The sequence below is a fragment of the Homo sapiens genome, chromosome 1, assembly GCF_000001405.40.
Source record: "Homo sapiens chromosome 1, GRCh38.p14 Primary Assembly".
NCBI lineage: Eukaryota > Metazoa > Chordata > Mammalia > Primates > Hominidae > Homo > Homo sapiens.
The window spans coordinates 26730161-26748897 of NC_000001.11; the positions used below are offsets into that span (position 1 = coordinate 26730161).

The 18737-nt window shown below is 44.7% G+C and overlaps 1 protein-coding gene across 2 annotated transcripts in view, besides 3 other annotated features; it reads left to right on the forward strand.

Moving 5' to 3' along the window:
* ARID1A (AT-rich interaction domain 1A) overlaps positions 1-18737 on the forward strand; it is an 86090-nt gene that overhangs the window by 34146 nt on the left and 33207 nt on the right. For both annotated transcript variants that reach the window (NM_006015.6, NM_139135.4), the window contains exons 3-4: positions 992-1444; positions 2516-2632. In NM_006015.6, the coding sequence (NP_006006.3) occupies positions 992-1444; positions 2516-2632 (570 nt within the window). The remainder of the gene's footprint in view (positions 1-991; positions 1445-2515; positions 2633-18737) is intronic.
* Positions 1292-1821: an enhancer, noted in NCBI's record as "H3K4me1 hESC enhancer chr1:27057943-27058472 (GRCh37/hg19 assembly coordinates)". NCBI's record gives its function as "activates a minimal SCP1, AML or CMV promoter by ChIP-STARR-seq in naive H9 embryonic stem cells {active_cell/tissue: H9 hESC(naive)}" and the evidence as "EXISTENCE:reporter gene assay evidence [ECO:0000049][PMID:30033119]".
* Positions 9526-9575: a silencer, noted in NCBI's record as "silent region_490". NCBI's record gives its function as "represses an Ori minimal core promoter by ATAC-STARR-seq in GM12878 lymphoblastoid cells {active_cell/tissue: GM12878}" and the evidence as "EXISTENCE:reporter gene assay evidence [ECO:0000049][PMID:35858748]".
* Positions 14171-14240: an enhancer, noted in NCBI's record as "active region_517". NCBI's record gives its function as "activates an Ori minimal core promoter by ATAC-STARR-seq in GM12878 lymphoblastoid cells {active_cell/tissue: GM12878}" and the evidence as "EXISTENCE:reporter gene assay evidence [ECO:0000049][PMID:35858748]".

Sequence of the window (18737 nt, forward strand, 5' to 3'; positions counted from 1 at the left end):
TGGCTGAACATGTAGGCACTGCTACTATTAGGAAAACCATTCATATCATGTGCCCTGGTGACGGAAGAGGCCCTTTATGCTTCTGAATACCTTTAACATATCTGCCTTCTGGTTCAAAATGAATGTGACTGGGAGTAGAAGAAAAGGGGAAGATTAAACAGAAAAGATGTTAACAGCATTGATACAAATGTTAAGATTTCCCCTTATCCATCTCTTTTTGTCGAACCATTCACATCATTATCTCTTTATTGTCATTTTTGTATTGACAAAGTTTTCTATCATTTATCTTTGAGTGATACTCATACTGAAAATAGGGAGAGAATATAAAACAAATTTTACTTCTAAGACTTTAAAGCAAAGTACGCCTTTAATATAGAAAATTGTCTCTTTTTTCCAATAGAGGAGAGATGAGGTAATTTTATTTATTTTTTTTATTTTTTTGCCTGCTTACTAAATATATCCCCAGTGCCTAAAATAGTGCCTGGTACAAGTAATTGAGTAGGCTGTCAAATATTTTTTTTGAATGAAAACTAAATGAAAGAGAGAACCAAAGTAGCTTAGTGATTTTCACACTGTCTGAATTACTAAACCTTAGGTTTTCAGTTGGTTGAGCCAGGCTGCTATTGACTATTCATTGTGGTTAGGGTACAGATTCCTAACACTTATAAAAACAGTCTAGGCCGTGATAAAAAGAGTTAGGCTCACTGGTAGAAACAGCTGCTCTCAAACTTATGTTGCCCAAATAGTAAATAGTGTAAATTTTCAGTGGATAAATGTAGTCCACTTGTAAACAAACCACCTAAAAACCCAGCTTGGCCGTCCTTCCTGGCTCAGTTTAGGCAGGGTGAGAGAAAAACCCTGGGCCTCCTAAGTATGAGGCCTTGCATGCTTGCTTTCTATACTCATCATCAGTGCATAGCTTCTCACAAAACACTTCATCTTTCCTCATGCAGGAGAGTCAGTGCTAAAAGTATATTTTCCTTTCCTACAGATTCCTCCTTATGGACAACAAGGCCCCAGCGGGTATGGTCAACAGGGCCAGACTCCATATTACAACCAGCAAAGTCCTCACCCTCAGCAGCAGCAGCCACCCTACTCCCAGCAACCACCGTCCCAGACCCCTCATGCCCAACCTTCGTATCAGCAGCAGCCACAGTCTCAACCACCACAGCTCCAGTCCTCTCAGCCTCCATACTCCCAGCAGCCATCCCAGCCTCCACATCAGCAGTCCCCGGCTCCATACCCCTCCCAGCAGTCGACGACACAGCAGCACCCCCAGAGCCAGCCCCCCTACTCACAGCCACAGGCTCAGTCTCCTTACCAGCAGCAGCAACCTCAGCAGCCAGCACCCTCGACGCTCTCCCAGCAGGCTGCGTATCCTCAGCCCCAGTCTCAGCAGTCCCAGCAAACTGCCTATTCCCAGCAGCGCTTCCCTCCACCGCAGGTAAGATATCCCTGCCTCCTGCCCTTCCCTGTGTGTGACTACAGACAGCTTGGGGGTTAGTGTCATGAGAACTTTGCTGTACAGAGTGGTTCTCTAACGTGCACTTAAAGACCAATTAAACTCTGGGTAAACATGATAACTGGATTGATTGAACTAATAAAGGCATAACCTCCTTAACTGCATAAAGACCTGTAGCTCTCCTTAATGATGAAGAAATAGGGCAATGGAAAGTTGCATAGATGGATAAGAAATTAAAGATAATGGGACTGGTTTTTTTATTTTATTTTATTTTATTTTATTTTGTAAATCAACATCAGAACTTCAGCATCTAAGTGAGTTGGTCTTTTTTCAAAACAGTCACTTTGAGAGGCAGTACTGTACATTCACTCCAACTGCCATTCCATTCTGCTATCGCTCAAAATACTTGGATCCCTTCATTTGGAATTGCCACCAGAGCTGATACCACATTCTTTAGAATACTCTCAGTGGTGGCAAATCTTATTTTTTGTGGGTGGATTTTGTTTGGGGAAATAGCAAAAATTCATTTGGAGTTATGTCTGGTGAACAAGATGTAGGTAATAGAGCCTAAAATAGCATTTGGGGCTTTATTTTTGTAGAGCCCAAAGAAAAGAGATGACTGAGTGATGACAGGTCCACTAAAAAGTTTATGTATTGGTGGCACTGTTGGAATAAATATCTCATCCCAAGGTGATGTCTTTGAATGAAGCAGTACTCATTTTAATGCAGAGGTTCTAGCATGATTTTTTTGTGGTTTCATTGGTCTCATTCCTTGATAGATTTAACTTGAAGTTGGCCAGACATTAGCATTTAACCCCAAGAAACAGCCCTCTGTAGGCAGCAATAAATGGGTGACAATTCTGTCAGAAAGAGTCCACTGTTGACATTCTTACCAGTCACAGCTTGGATTTTTCTGGCCTTCACATAATACTTTTCGCAACTGGACTTTCTCTCACACTCATGAGAGACAGTCCCATAACCCTTTCACAGTGAAGTAAGCCTGCCTGGTTTATCAATACCAGGCCATCACAGCTTTTGTTTTTCTTGTTGTAGGAGCTATCTCAAGATTCATTTGGGTCTCAGGCATCCTCAGCCCCCTCAATGACCTCCAGTAAGGGAGGGCAAGAAGATATGAACCTGAGCCTTCAGTCAAGACCCTCCAGCTTGCCTGTGAGTATTTCTGCACCTTCTGAAAGGTGATAGGGGCAGAGAGGAAACCAATGCAAACTAGTTAGTTTCTGGTTGGAAGTTTAGCTAATTTTGACCTAAATGAATAAGTTATTTCTTGAATTCAAGGAACTTAAAGGCTGACTTGTAGATGTCTGTTCTGTCTCCCTGCCCAGGGAATAGGTTTGTGATCTGTTTAGTTTGTTTTTGTCTTTTTAAGTCTTGTGCTTTTAGACATGGACCCACATGAGGGGCAGAGAAGATGGAGATATCAGAAGCACTGTCTGCTCTCCATCAAAGTTGAGAAAAATATCAGTTTCTTGACTTTACTCTTACAGGCTTAATTTTTAGGTTTTTGGCTTAATGTTTAGCTACAAGGTAGGATCCTGGAGCAATTCAGCATGCATTGTCACATTGAGCGTGGCTGGAGCAAAAGCAGTTTTTCTGGTGGTGATTTTGTGTGAATACTTTTTTTTTTTATTTTTGGTAGAGTACTTGATGCCCAGGTGCTTAAGTTATGGAATCAGGTACTTATTTATGGGATGGACTGACCATATCCTGAGACAGGCAGTATAGTCTAGTGATTAAGAACTTGGGCTCTAGAGCCAGAGTTCCTGGCTCTAGCTTCTGCCACCAACTCTGTTTCATAGGGGTGGTGGTGAACATTAAATAGGTTACTAGAGAGTGCACACGAGCACTGCACATTGTAGGCACTCCATAAATGTCAGCCTTTGTAATCATCGCCTCAGAGGGCATTGGGACTGTGCTTTATACCTGAAAGGCAGTTAACACCATACTAGGTGGTTGTAGGAACCTTTACTGTTAGTCTTAGCTCTGTGGGCAAGTTACTCAGCCTCTGAAAGTTAATCTGCTGGGCACAGAAATAAAATAGGCTACTCTGAAATCTAGTCATCTAGTAAGATGGTGGGTAGCAAACCCACCATGACAAATCCTGCTTCAGTTAGGAAATGGAAATTCAGCCACATACCCAGATAAGAATCTTTTGGAATTTTGACTCTACTTGGATGTAAAGCCTGTGTCTTCATTTATTCTGACCTGAGAGAAATGGTTTCAGGATCTCTAAGAAATAGGCAGAAGGCGGGAACTCTCTTCATCATGAAGCCTCCCATGGATTCCCCTGAAGGTCTCTGAGACACCTCAATAGGGCAAGGTCTGCAGAGTCCCTTAGTACCTGGTGTTCAGGCTTCTGAGGCCAGAATGCAGATAGGACGTCTGAGATTGTTGACTTTCTCAACTGAGGAATTGGGGGAAGGAAGTGCCTTAATAAAGTGATCACTCTTTGTTCCCTTCTCATTAGTGTCTGTTGCAATCCTTTTCTGCATCCTGAACTTCATTGGAATGTGCTTTTTAACCTGATTCAGTCAGAATGTGTAACCACTCCCTCATCATCTGTGGTCTGTGGCTAAATCTGGGTGAGGTGCTATTGTGTCAAGAACCCAAATCGGTGGATTTCTGTCAGTGCTGTAAGTTGCTTCATTCCAAAAAGTTTTTGCTTGCTTCTGGTGACCTTTTGATAGATCTGTATTTGGCTTCTTTTTTTTTTTTTTTTTTTGGTCCTGAGAAGGCTTGTATCCAGAGATGCTACATGCCTTGTAAGGGTTGGGAATCTTAAGAACTTCTTATCTGACCCACTGAAGTGAAGGTGAAGGTGTTGGCAGCCTTTTAGGCCCAGGGGATGGTTGTTCCTGGGAAGGCTATCACAAGGAACATTCCCACGTTTGGGCTTTTTCTAAAGATTCATCCAAATGGGTCATTTGCTCAGTGGTAGAAGCTCCATGTGGGAGGTAAGCTGGCTGGGTTATTGGCATCTTGTTTTTTGAATTGCTTTTTATCCCTTTGCTACTTGGGCAGGCATCAAAAAGTGGTTATTCTTTGAAATTTTGGTTTGATGCCAGATTTGCCTACGCAGGCTAGGAAGCAGCCCCATCTGAAGAAATGACAAGTTGGATTCCCTACAAGAGCCCTCTCCTTTCTTAACCAGTCGTGTTAAAGGATCCCTAGGTTTGCCAGTGCATTGCTTCACTAAACAAATGTTTATGAGGTACCTATTGGCACCAGAGCAGATTCCAGGCTGGCTGGAGAGCAGCCCCTCAGATTTCACATTGCTCTCCTTACTCATTCACGTTACCTTCCTGGCCCTAAAGGCATTATGATTGTGACCCTTGAATATTACAAAAATTAAATTTTGAGGAGTCTGTGCTCAGTTATTGATGCCAAGCCATTTGGGTGCTATTATCCTGATCATGTTATCCCTATATTTAAACCTCTCAATTATTTTTTTGTTAATCTTAGAATAAAATCCAGAATTTTTTTTTTTTTTTTTTTGGGGGGAGAGAGAGTTTCACACTCTTGTTGCCCAGGCTGGAGTGCAATGGCACGATCTTGGTTCACTGCAGCCTCCACCTCCTGGGTTCAAGTGATTCTTCTGCCTCAGTCTCCCGAGTAGCTGGGTTTACAGGTGCTCGCCACTACGCCCAACTAATTTATTTATTTATTTTTGGATACTGAGTCTCACTCTGTTGCCCAGGCTGGAGTGCAATGGCACGATCTCAGCTCACTGCAACCTCAGCCTCCCAGGTTGAAGTGATTCTCCTGCCTCAGCCTCCCGAGTAGCTGGGATTACAGGCGCCCTCTACCACGCCCACGTAATTTTTGTATTTTTAGTAGAGACGGGTTTCACCAGGTTGGCCAGGCTGATCTCAAACTCCTGATCTCAGGTGATCCACCTGCCTTGGCCTCCCAAGGTGCTGGGATTATAGGCGTGAGCCACCTCACCCGGCCTGAAATCCAGAATCTTTAATGTTAGACATCAGAAACACAGATTGCTGTTCCCTCTCAGCTCCCATCCCCTGTGTCTTTCTCATTCAGTAGGTCTGGAGTGGGGCCCAAGAATGTGCATTTCTAACAAGTTCCTCTGTGATTCTGTTGCTGCTAGACCAGGGATGGCACTTTGAGAACCTCTACTTTATTCTTTTTTCTCTGCCTTGCTCTTGGCTTTCTTTCAGTTTCTCTAAGGCACCATATGCTATTTTTTGCTTTCAGACCTTTGCACACACCCTTCCCTTTGCCTCATACTTTTCCCCTCAACTCCTCCTGTTCATCTTTCAGACTATATCTTAAAGATTGTTCCTTCAGAAAACTACTACCTAATCAAGCTTCAAGACGCACCTTAAATAACTTCTATGATGACTTCATTGACTAAAGGCCATTGTTATTTTACCTTTAAAAAAAAGGCCGGGCGTGGTGGCTCACGCCTGTAATCCCAGCACTTTGGGAGGCCAAGGCGGGCAGATCACGAGGTCAGGAGATCGAGACCATCCTGGCAACCATGGTGAAACCCCGTCTCTACTAAAAATATAAAAAATTAGCCAGGCATGGCAGTGGGTACCTGTAGTCCCAGCTATTTGGGAGGCAGAGGCAAGAGAATCACTTTAGAACCTGGGAGGCAGAGGTTGCATTGAGCCGAGATCACACCACTGCACTCCAGCCTAGTTGACAGTGAACTCCATCTCAAAAAAAAAAAAAAAAAAAAAGTATAGCTGGGCGCGGTGGCTCACACCTGTAATCCCAGCACTTTGGGAGGCCGAGGCTGGCGGATCACAAGGTCAGGAGTTCGAGACCAGCCTGGCCAATATGGTGAAACCCTGTCTCTACTAAAAAATACAAAAATTAGCTGGGCGTGGTGGCGGGCACCTGTAGTCCCAGCTACTCAGGAGGCTGAGGCAGGAGAATTGCTTGAACCCGGGAGGCGGAGATTGCAGTGAGCCAAGATTGTGCCACTGCATTCCAGCCTGAGTGACAGAGAGAGACTCTGTCTCAAAAAAAAAAAAAAAAAAGGGCACAGTGGCTCAGGAGGCCGAGGCGGGCAAATCGCCTGAGGTCTGGAGTTTGAGACCAGCCTGACCAACACGGAGAAACCCCGTCTCTACTAAAAATACAAAATTAGCCAGGCGTGGTGGTGCATACCTGTAATCCCATCTACTCGGGAGGCTGAGGCAGGAGAATTGCTTCAATCCAGGAGGCAGAGGTTGCAGTGAGCCAAGATCACGCCATTGCACTCCAGCCTGGGCAACAAGAGTGAAATTCTGTCTCAAAAAAAAAAAAAAAAAAAACCCTGCACAATATATAAGGCCTACAAAAACTATAAAGAACAGTTCAGTACCTGAGTACCCATCTGTAGAAATCAAGCCTTGCTAACACAGGTAAAACTTTATATAGCTCTCTGGGATCACTTATCCCTCTTGGTAAGCACCATCCTGTATTTGACAGAGCATTTTGCCAATGCCCTCTACCTGTGCTTGCTTTTTTTTTGTTTGTTTGTTTTGAGATGGGGGTCTCTCTGTCACCCAGGCTGGAGTGTAGTGGTTTATTCTCGGCTCACTGCAGTCTCCACCTCCCCAGGTTCAGGTGATCCTCCCACCTCAGCCTCCTGAGTAGCTGGGACTACAGGTGTGAGTCAACATGCCCAGCTAATTTTTGGACTTTTTAGTAGAGATGGGGTTTCACGATGTTGCCCAGGCTGGTCTCGAATTCCTGAGCTCAAGCAGTCTGCCCGCCTTGGCTTCCCAAAGTGGTGGGATTATAGGCATGCACCACCTTGCCTGGCCTGACTCTACTTACTTAAATGGTAAGTTCCTGGAAGGCAGGCACTGTGTTATTGACCTCTGTGCCCCCAGTACCTATCATGTGATGCCCAAGACCAGTGGTTCTCTACTGTGTCTGCATGTTAGAATTACCCAGGGGAGTGTATTATCTTTAAAAATTAATGCCCAGGCCCGAGCACGGTGCCTCACGCTTGTAATCCCGGCACTTTGGGAGGCTGAGGTGGGCGGATCACCTGAGGTCGAGAGTTTGAGACCAGCCTGACCAACATGAAGAAACACCATCTCTACTAAAAATACAAAATTAGCTGGGCATGGTGGCACACGCCTGTAATCCCAGCTACTAGGGAGGCTGAGGCAGGAGAATCGCTTGAACCTGGGAGGCAGAGGTTGCGGTGAGCCAAGATGGTGCCATTACACTCCAGCCTGGGCTACAAGAGCGAAACTCCGTCTCAAAAAAAAAAAAAGAAAAAATTAATGCCCAGAGTTCACAGAGTTCTGATTTGTTTCATGTGGGGTTTGGGCATTGGTGTGGTTAGCAGCTGTCCCAGGTGAATCCCGATTTGCAGGTAGAGATCTATTCCAGACTGTATGAGGTTCCTTTGCTATAGTAAACTCTTTTTTTTTTTTGAGATGGAGTCTCACTCTGTCACCCAGGCTGGAGTGCAGTGGCACAATCGCAGTTCACAACAACTTCCGCCTCCCGGGTTCAAACGATTCTCCTGCCTCAGCCTCCCAGGTAGCTGGAATTACAGACGCCCGCTACCACACCCGGCTAATTTTTGTATTTTTAATAGAGACGAGGTTTCACTATGTTGGCCAGACTGGTCTCGAACTCCTGACCTGGGTGATCCACCCGCCTCGGCCTCCCAAGGTGCTGGGATTACAGCCATGAGCCACGGTGCCCAGCCTATAGTAAATTCTTAGCACCCATACTTCTTGTTAGTACTTATCTCAAGTGTAATTTAAATTACTTATTTAATGCAAGTTCATTGAGGACTGACTTGCTGTCTTGCTTATTGCCATAGTGCCTGGCATCTGGTTGCTTATTGCCATAGTGCCTGGCATATAGTAGGCTCCAACTTACTGAATAGATGAACCTGAGCAGCATCCATTATAGTGCTCATTCAGGAAGTATACATCTGACAGGAGCAGCTTGACTGTATTACCAGAGTCTTGCTCTGTCACCCAGGCTGGAGTGCAGTGGCACGATCTTGGCTCACTGCAGCCTCCGCCTCCCGGGTTCCAGCGATTCTCCTACCTCAGCCTCTTGAGTAGCTGGGATTACAGGTGTGCGCCACCACTCCCGGCTAGTTTTTGTATTTTTAGTAGAGACAGGGTTTCACCACGTTGGCCAGGCTGGTTTCGAACTCCTGACCTCAAGTGATCCACCCACCTCAGCCTCCCAAAGTGCTGGGATTATAGGCGTCAGCCACTGCGCCCAGCTTCTGTAACTTTTCTTTTGTTTTTTTTTTTTTTTTTGAGACAGAGTCTCTGTTGCCCAGGCTGGAGGGCTGGAGTGCTGGAGTACAGTGGTGCCATCTGGGCTCACTGCAAGCTCCGCCTCCCGGGTTCAAGCAATTCTCTGCCTCAGCCTCCCTAGTAGCTGGGATTACGGGCACCCACCACCACGCCTGGCTAATTTTTTTGTATTTTTAGTAGAGATGGGGTTTCACCATCTTGGCCAGGCTGGTCTTGAACTCCTGACCTTGTGATCCACCCACCTTGGCCTCCCAAAGTGCTGGGATTACAGGCATGAGCCACTGCGCCCGGCCCAGCTTCTGTAACTTTTCTTACTGAGACACATTTGTAAATTTACATTTTGGTCTTGAAAGTGTACCTAGGATAGAGTAATGGAAAATGGATACAGGATTGAAAGCTGTGATCTGAAGAGGTTAGCTAGTGCTTCACAAACTTTAGCGTGTGTTAAGAATCACCTGAATTACTGCCTCTACCTGAGAAATTCTGATTCAGTAGGTGTGGGCTGGGACCTAAGAATTTGCATTTCTAACAAGCTCTGAAGTGGTACAGATGCTGCCAGTTCAGAAGACCACAATTGGAATGAGACTGAAGTAGGTAGTCACCTTTAAGGGAAGGAAAAAAAATTACTAGACTAGGAAGCCACAGCGGTAACTAGAATAATAGTGGTGATTTACACTGTAGTTTGACTCTTGATTATTTGGAAGGCACACTGTGGGTTAAGAATGGTAGAAAGAAAAGAGACTTGAAAGAAACTAGACTTCCTGTAGCTGTGGCCTCAGTGCAGTTTATTCCTGGGTAACGGAGCCCTTGCCCTGCCAGTACCACCCTGGGAGCTCCTCTGCTCTATGGTGCTCATCACTGGATCCCTTCCTTTAGTGGGGCCAAACTTAGTTGGTCACCAAATCTTAGTCTACCACAGAAATGGTTTTTGCTTTTGAATCTGGTTTCCCCTCTCTTTCTCCACTGCCTTTTGTTTTTTCGGGTCCCTGTTATCTCTCACCTGGTGTCTTGCCACAAACTTCTGACTGTTCTGTTTCTTTTCTTCCTCTTTTCCTTCCAAGTCTGTCCTCAGCATAATCACCAGAGTGATCATCTTAAAAAAAAAAAAAAAGAAAAAAAAAACCTGGCCAAGTTATGTTAATGCTTTAAAACCTGGCTACGTGTTGTCTGTAGATTTAAGTCCAAGTGTGACATACAAGTAAGTTTTTTTGGGATCTGGAGGATGAGGAGAGATGTAGGTAAGTTTCCTGTCCCTGGAGTAAAACCTGGCACACTTTTTGCTATGGGTGTTATGTAGAAGACAAACAGACATTTGACAAGGGTTGAACTTGTGTGACTTCTGAGGTCATTTGAACTCTTGGGTCCATGATTCCGAATATGATACGATGATTCCTAAAGGATCCTCCTGTGTTTCATTAGTAAAATAGACATAAAACAGAAGACCATGTGCCTGTATGTTATAATGAGTGCTGTCAGAGTTTGGTGAAGTCACTGATCCATTTATGTCTCAATAGTTGAAGGAAGAAGTCATGTTGAAGTTCAGTCAGTATGAGCTAGATGTGGATGTATTTAAGTGGTTAGTTACAAAGGGAAAGTCCAGCTTGAACAGAGGCCATGCAGGGATGGGGATGAGGTGCAGTATAGATACTTGGGGGCTGGTCAGCTTCCAGGGGTGGGAAGTAACAGGAAGGAAAGCTAGATCACAGGGATCCTGCTGAGCTTAAGCCATTTAGATCTGATCTTATGGGCTTGCAGATAGGTAACTGGGGCAATCATGTGATAAAACTAATGTTTTACAAAAATGATCCATTAGTTTGTAGTATGCTTTGAAAACGGGAGAGTCTTAAAGCAGTGGAATAAGTTAAACCGTAGAACTACTTCTGGCAAGAGGTATGGAGTTCTGGTCCTTCTGTCTCATTTGCATAGCCACCTGCTCCCACATGTGGAACATGCAGGAAAGAATACAGGACTGAGAATAAGTGGGTTCTGTGTGGTGGAATATTTAAAGATTTTGATTGACTGGTGGGCAGGGGGAGTCTCATTTTTGAGGAAAAGTTAAATTCCATATTTATTTTGTGGAATATAATATAGTAAGATTTCTGAAAACAAATGTCCAGTTTCTAGTTGGAGATAAGAAACTGAAACTTGGGTAAGACCTGAGTCTGGATACAAGTTTGCGAGTTACCTGTGTGGTAGTTAATAGTTAAACCATAGAATGAAACAGGCCTCCTAAACTGGAGTTTAGAGATAGAAGCCAGATGGAGCTCTGGACGATGCCGGAGGCCATCAGGTAGAAGCAGCCAACAGAGAGTTGGAGAGATCGGAGAAGGACCAGGATTGTGTAATATTTCTGGAAGCCAAGGGAGGAGGGACGAAGTCAAATTTATATTTCAAAGAAAATAGGTAGTTGGGTTTGTCATAAAGCATTTTATTGGGATCCTTTTTAGATAAGGAAAAGGCCTTATTTCTGAGGGCTTGAGAAAAGGAAATGAGCAAGGGAAAGGGAAAGAGCACTCTTGAAATGCACTGAGAAAAAGGAGAGTCTGGCTGAATCAGTCCAATTCCTCCGCTTCATCCCAAAGACCCGCATGTGTATAAGGCAGATGGAAGAGGGAAAAGTGAAGGTGCTGGCAGAATATTAGGAGGGTATAAACAGGCACATCTTTCTGGAGTTGTGAGAAAAAGGAATCAAAGGCATCCACTGGATTAATTTCTAAGGGACGCTATACCCTTGGCTGAAAAAAAGGTAATCTTAAAGACTGTTGTTGAAGATTGGATCATACTCATTTCCTCAGGTTAGGTAGGAGTGAATGTTATCGATATCAGGAGGGAGGTGGAGAACAGAATTAGGATCTGTAATGTCTATCAAATTATCCCTTGAGTTTCTGAGCCATTCTTTAGATTTCACTTAACATCTTAGCTATTACCCTTCGTATTTTTACTTCTGTAATGCTCTCAGACGCTGAGATCTTGGAATTACATTGGTCTAGAAAGAGGAAATGCGAGGGAGCTATGCTGTCCCTGTAGAATCCAGATTTTAGAGGGCAGGAGTAAGGCCAGGCAAGGAGCTACAGTCAACATCAGTTATTCTGAAAAGATAGGAATTGGAAGGTACAGAATACCCACTCCTGTTTTACATATGAAAAACCAAGGGTCAGAATCAAGATTTGAATCTAGCTCTGATATTTCAGGTGAAATATTTCCTCCAGCATCCCACCCAGTAGAGGAAAGACATGGACAATCTGATCCTCTCTTCATTTTTAGGCAAAAAACTCAACTCTTTGCCATTTAGCATTTGCTAGACTTGTCCTAAAAGGAATGTCAATGGATTTCCATTTTACTTCTGTTTTCCCAGACATCCCTGTGATGGAGGCACAGATGAGCTGTGGAAAGAGCGAGTGGTAGGAAAGATAGCCAAACCTATAGGACCTGCTTGGAGGAACTAGCCAACTAGGGAATCGCCTCAAACAGTGAACCGTTGACTAGAGTTTGGTTATTTGGTTCCTGTGTGGGATGAGAGCAAGCCCTGTTCTGTGTCTGTCTTCTTAGAACATACTGTCCTGGTCAGTGCTAACTTTAATCAGTTAGATCCTTGCTACTCAGTGTGGTCCATTGTCTAGAAGCACCAACATCACCGGGAAGCTTGCTAGAAATGTAGATTTTCAGGCCCCATCCTAGATTTATTGGATCTAACTGTTAATAAGATCTCTAAGTGATTCATGTGTCTAATGGTTTAGAAGCACAGAGACCCTGAGAGCTGAGAGTAAAATTTTCAAATGAAATATCAAGCTGGTAGGCCAGGCACGGTGGCTCACACCTGTAATCCCAGCACTGTGGGAGGCTGAGGCGGGTGGATCATGAGGTCGGGAGTTCGAGAGCAGCCTGACCAATATGGTGAAACTCCATCTCTACTAAAAATATAAAAATTTAGCTGGGCGTGGTGGCATGCACCTGTGATCCCAGCTACTCAGGAAGCTGAGGCAGGAGAATCCCTTGAACCCGAGAGGCGGAGGTTGCAGTGGGCTGAGGTCGCGCCACTGCACTCCAGCCTATGTGACAGAGCGAGACTGTCTCAAAAAAAGAAATATAAAAAATATCAAGCTGGGGCTTTGGAACGTCATAAATTTTACAGATTGTATCCAGTAATATTTAAGTAATCTCTGAGTGTGGGAGACCACCACCAGTTGTTTCGTGCGTGTTTTGGGGACCCTGGCTCCCAGTGCCTTACCCAGTTCAGAACCCATAGTGGAGCCATCCACAGCTCCCAGCATACCTCTGCAACTTCATCTCCAGCCACTCATTTGTACCTTAAGCTCCTCACAATTCCTGGTCCTCTTGATTAGGATGTATACCTGTTTCTCTCTCTTTCTGTCATGCTCAGCAAACTTCTACTTTGGCTTCAAAACCTAGCTGGAATACTCTCTCTGAGACTTCTTCCCCATTTTCATATTGGCATAGCCTTATGCTGGTACCTCTGCTTGAACTGTATCTGACATCTGTCATGTTGTGCCCAGAACAGGCAGATATTTGTAAACCTTTGTTGAATACCTCCTAGATTCTTGCTACCTAGTTGAGCTTTGGGAGCTGACGTTTTGTTGTTTAGGTTTATTGAGAGGAGTGACAAATCCTCTCAATAAATGCTTTAAAAATTAGAACATTTGGCTGGGCACGGTGGCTCACACCTATAGTCCCAGCACTTTGGGAGGCTGAGGCGGGTCATCATGAGGTCAAGAGTTCAAGACCAGCCTGGACAACATGGCGAAACCCTGTCTCTACTAAAAATACAAAAATAGGCAGGTGTGGTGGCAGGGGCCTGTAGTCCCAGCTACTCGGGAGGCTGAGGCAAGAGAATCGCTTGAACCCGGGAGGCAGAGGATGCAGTACTCCATCTCAAAAAAAAAAAAAAAAAATTAAAACATTTGAAGGATTTTAATTTTACACAGTTTCTGTTCCCTTTTGTTCATTTCATGATAGAAGGAGAGAGGGCCCACAGTCCTTATCTAGGTTTTTGATGGTTGATTTTCAAAAAGATAACAGAAATGTCACTAGCGATTTTGGTAACCAGAGAAGCAGGGTCTTTCTGAGGTTGGTGACCTGTTTTCTTTATAGCTGACCATGTATCTGTGCCTGCTCCCCTTGAATTATAGCCCAGGTGCTCTCTCAGAGTCTCGAAAAGGAAATCCCCACCCCCTCTGTCATATCTGCCCAGACTGCTAAGAGCAGCATGTACCCTGTGCATGTAGCCATCCCTTCTCTAGAACGCTGGTTCTCTGGGCTGGACTGGCCAATCCGCTTCTCCATCTTAGTCACACTGTTCCAACCCTGATACTGCCTGCTGACTGCCTGAGCCTGTGCTGCTTGCAGCAGATTACTGTATGCTTGTTCCTGGGCCCATTTCCTGTTTCTATTCTAGTCGCTGGTGGCTCAGCTCTGCTTCCTGCCTGTGTGTCTCACACAGATTCCTCTTGCTGGAACCTTTTGTTTCCTTCGGAACAGCCTCAATCTTTGAAAAGCAACTGAGCCTTAACTCTAGTATGATGGCTCTTGAGTCACTTAGTCCTACAGAGGTCTGGCTGGAAGTACCTCTTCCCCATTAAGCACACCGTTTGAATTTTACCTTGTTTTTCAGTTTGTCGTCAGCCCTGCTGTAGGAAGTTAAGTTGGGCCAAACTTGTCCTCACTTATTAGTACACAGAGCTATCGGGACTGGTATGTCCTGATTCTTTTGTACCTGGAGCTTTTAAATGTATTTCCTACTACTCAAGAAGACACTTGGTATCCTCTCTGGCCCAAGCTTCCCTGAAGCCCAGGTGATACTTATTTTGAGTTGGGCAGGTTATGCCATCCTCAGCAGAATAACAGGCTGCAGAAAACATAGGGATGGAAAAGAAAGCGTGTGCTGACTCAACCCTCCATCCTGTGTGAGCAATTCAAACCCCCCACCCACCCCCTCAGAGCTTAGGGTGAGAGAGAGAAAGTACAGTGAGGTTGTAAAAAGGGAAGAAGTGAAGGAGGTTGTCCTGGACAAATGTATTTAAAGGCCTAAGGCTCCCCCCTCTTGCCCATTTCCTACAAAAAATATGCTTCGTGAATAAATCTTTTTTCTCTTCCTTTACAGCCACTCTTTTGGGATCATTTGATAATACTGAGTCAGAGGATTTCTGTACTGGACCCTAGGTCTAGCTATGTTTAAAAGAGAGAGATTTAATATAGGGAATTTGGGCTTACAACTGGAAGGAGTGAGGGAGCTTGCTCTAGGCTTGGCCTCCAAGAAACCAGACCCAGATTTAACCTAGATTTGACCTACCAGGGGAACGTCTATCTCGGAGCTACTATTAGATTGATTGCTCTTGAATCATACCCCTAAACCTGTGGTCCAGAATCAGTAAACTGGAATCAAGAAGCAGTAGCTGCTGCCGCCAGAACCAGCACCCAGTTAAGTGGAGGATGGAACCAAAATGCTCCTGCAGAAACAAGTAAAGGAGACAGAAATATGGTCTCTGCTTACTTTGATCTAATCTCATGAGTCAGCTTCTCATTAGCAGAAGCTGAATTGTATCCAAAACCAAGGGATTCTTGGAAATTTCGTTTTTAAGCTTTTTAACCTCTACAATTAGAGAAAGAATAGAATGGAGGCTGCATGAACTAGCCCAACAGAATATTTACAATACTGACACCCCATTCCCGTCTCCCCTCCCACCCCCAACTTTACATATGACGAACCTAAGGCCCAGAAAGGGCAAGAGACTTGTCCAGGGTCATTCAGTAAATGAGAACATTGGATTCTCTGACTGCTAGTCCAGTGGTTCTACTGTTGCTTTTACTGTTAGGACCAACTCCTGTACAAGACCAGCAAAAAGATCCTTTAAGAAAAGGCCGCAGGCACGGTAGCTCACACCTGTAATCCCAGCACTTTGGGAGGTTGAGGCGGTGAGATCACCTGAGGTTGGGAGTTCAAGACCAGCCTGACCAACATTAAGAAACTCCGTCTCTACTAAAAATACAAAATTAGCCGGGCGTGGTGGCATGTGCTTGTAATCCCAGCTACTTGGGAGGCTGAGGCAGGAGAATCGCTTGAACCTGGGAGGCGGAGGTTGCGGTGAGTCAAGATTGTGCCACTGCACTCCAGTCTGGGCAACAAGAGCAAAACTCTGTCTCAAAAAAATAGAAAAGGAAAAATGCCATATTCAGAAAATGGACTTTGCCTTCCGTATTCTCTTTGGAGAAAGGGAAGGAGTTATGAACAGATATGAGGTTGAGATTTCTAGATTTCTAGGCAAAGTTAATGATACTACAGCTTCTGGATTTAGTTCTGTTCTCCAGAAGGATATAAGAAGCATTTACTCTGAAAGGAAGAATTCTCAAAAACTAGAATGTCCTGATATTCCTTAGTCATCATGGATGAACTCAGTTGTTGTAGTGACAGTGGCTCACCTTCACCTATTCCCCCTTGCCTTTTCTTTTGCTGTTGGTGCTTTTCTGTCCAAAAAGATCAACCAAAATCCAGAAAACCAGCCCCCAGATGTTTGGTTGCTTAGCTGTTTCATGTCTGCCCTTGGGGAGACTTGGGTCTTTTGAACAGAAAATGAGCCAAGTCCACCCAGAAATACTATCTTTGTAGAAACCACTAGGGTCCTTTAAGCCAAGGTGAGAATCTGTTTCTTCAAACTTGGCCCAGAGGGGAGGACCTGTAGGTGTGGAGCTATGTTAACATATCTGGCCAGGCGCAGTGGCTCACGCCTGTAATCCCAGCACTTTGGGAGGCCGAGGTAGGTGGATCACAAGGTGAGGAGATTAAGACCATCCTGGACAACATGGTGAAACCCTGTTTTAGTAAAATACAAAAAATTAGCTGGGTGTGGGCTGGGTGCGGTGGCTCACGCCTGTAATCCCAGCAGTTTGGGAGGCCAAGGCGGGCAAATCACCTGAGGTCAGGAGTTCAAGGCTGGCCAATATGGTAAAACCCTATCTCTACTAAATAATATAAAAATAAGCTGGGTGTGGTGGCAGGCACCTGTAATACCAGCTACTTGGGAGGCTGAGGCTGAGGCAGGGAGAGAATTGCTTGAACCCGGGAGGCAGAGGTTGCAGTAAGCCAAGATCGCGCCACTGCACTCCAGCCTGGTGACAGAGTAAGACTCCGTGTCAAAAAAACAAAACAAACAAACAAAAAAAACAACACCATACCTGATAAATCAAGCGTAGAATTAGCCCTATTGTTTTTTTCTTTGTGTCTACGACATACTAGAAAGCTGTGATGAAATCGATATGTATTCTGTTGCCATCCCTCTGGGGACCAGTGCTTGGTCTCCTAATCCCCCTACTCGATGGCCTGAAAGTGTTTCATCTTCCCTGCCTGTTATCAGCATAGAATTGGTTGGTATTGTGACATAATCTGATTGCCTTGAGGCAGAGCTTACCTCCAAGCTGCTAGCTTCCTTCCCATTTGACCTTTCCCAAAGAAGCTAAGAATCCATGCCTTGTTGAAGGTGGGAACTAGGGGTTGAAGGCTTAATCTTGAGAGTCAGCGAACCTGTCCCTTAAGGCCAGCTTTGATGTGGGAAGAATATTGAATATTGTTTACTGAGATGGAGATGGGTGGAGGTAATTTTTCCTGACATTTTGGGGAAGGTAAGAGAAACCAAATTTAGACTGAAAGGGATCAGTGGCCAGGTGTGGTGGCTTACACCTGTAATCCCAGCAGTGTGGGAGGCTGAGGCAGTAGGATTGCTTGAGGCCAGGAGCTGGAGACCACCACCCTGGGCAACACAGCAAGATCCCCATCTCTACCAAAAAAAAAAAAAAAAATAGTTGGCCATGGTGGTGCATGCCTGTAGTCCTGGCTACTTGGGAGGCTGAGGCAGGAGGATCGCTTGAGCCCAGGAGTTTGAGGCTGCATTGAGCTATGCTTGCACGACTGCACTCCAGCCTGGGTGACAGAGCAAGACCCTATCTGAAAAACAAACAAATAATATAGGTCAATGTTCAGAGGAACCATTATCAAGAATATTTGGATTTTTATCCCTCTTATTTTCTAGAACTTGATTATAGCTCCCTTGTGTTCAGAGTTGTTCTTTTCAAAGTCCTTTGAGGTTGTATTCTGGTTTAAGATTCTATCCATTTCTCACTCTCAGATCTGTTTGTTCCACCCTCTCCCCCTAAATATTTGGATTTTATATAGACCAGTAGGCTAAGGTAGGGAAGACCACTGACAAGTATAAATTTAAGAGTTTACAAAACCAAGGAGGCCATCCAGCCCCTAGTTCTAAGCCATGTTCAGCACAGTGCCAACTTTGCCTTCCCTGGCTGTCCTTGCTTGCTTTCTGGTTGCTGTAATTCTGAGGGGCAACCAGGCTTGCTGTAGAGAGGAGAGCCAGATGATGTGGAAGCCTAAGGCAACACCCCCTCCTTATTACACTTCTCATACCCAGAACTCTGCTTGCTTTCTGTGTTCCTTTCCTCTCACTCCCCTTTCCTGCCCTCTTTACTCAAGTTCTAAGATTATAGCTGATGATCTTCATAATAGAACAAACTCTGTTTGGTTGACCTTCCTAACAGGGAATGCTTGGCTTTGAGAAAGTAGGGGGTTCCTAACTTCTTTGCCTTCTCTAGCTTTACAGTGCTCTTACTTCCTGCTGGGATTAGAACAGCCCTATTCCATAAATATGCACTGCTCTTGGCTGCTGTAACTCAGGCCCAGCTCTGACCCAGATTCTTTTTTTTTTTTTTTTTTTTGTCAGATTTGAGTCTATTAACTAGTGACCCTCAAAACACTTCATACATTTTTGGCCAAAAAGTGGTTACTGACTGGATAAGACAGAAGCCTTTGGGGGGCAGGGTGACTGGTCGGGCAGGTAACATGGTATTATACAGGCCTGATGGGGACTGTGACAAACTGAAAAGCAGGGTTTCAACCAGTTAGCGGCCTATGGGAGTTCCAGAATCATCATCATCATCTTTTTTTTTATTTTTATTTTTGGAAAACTCTCGGCCAGGCGCAGTGG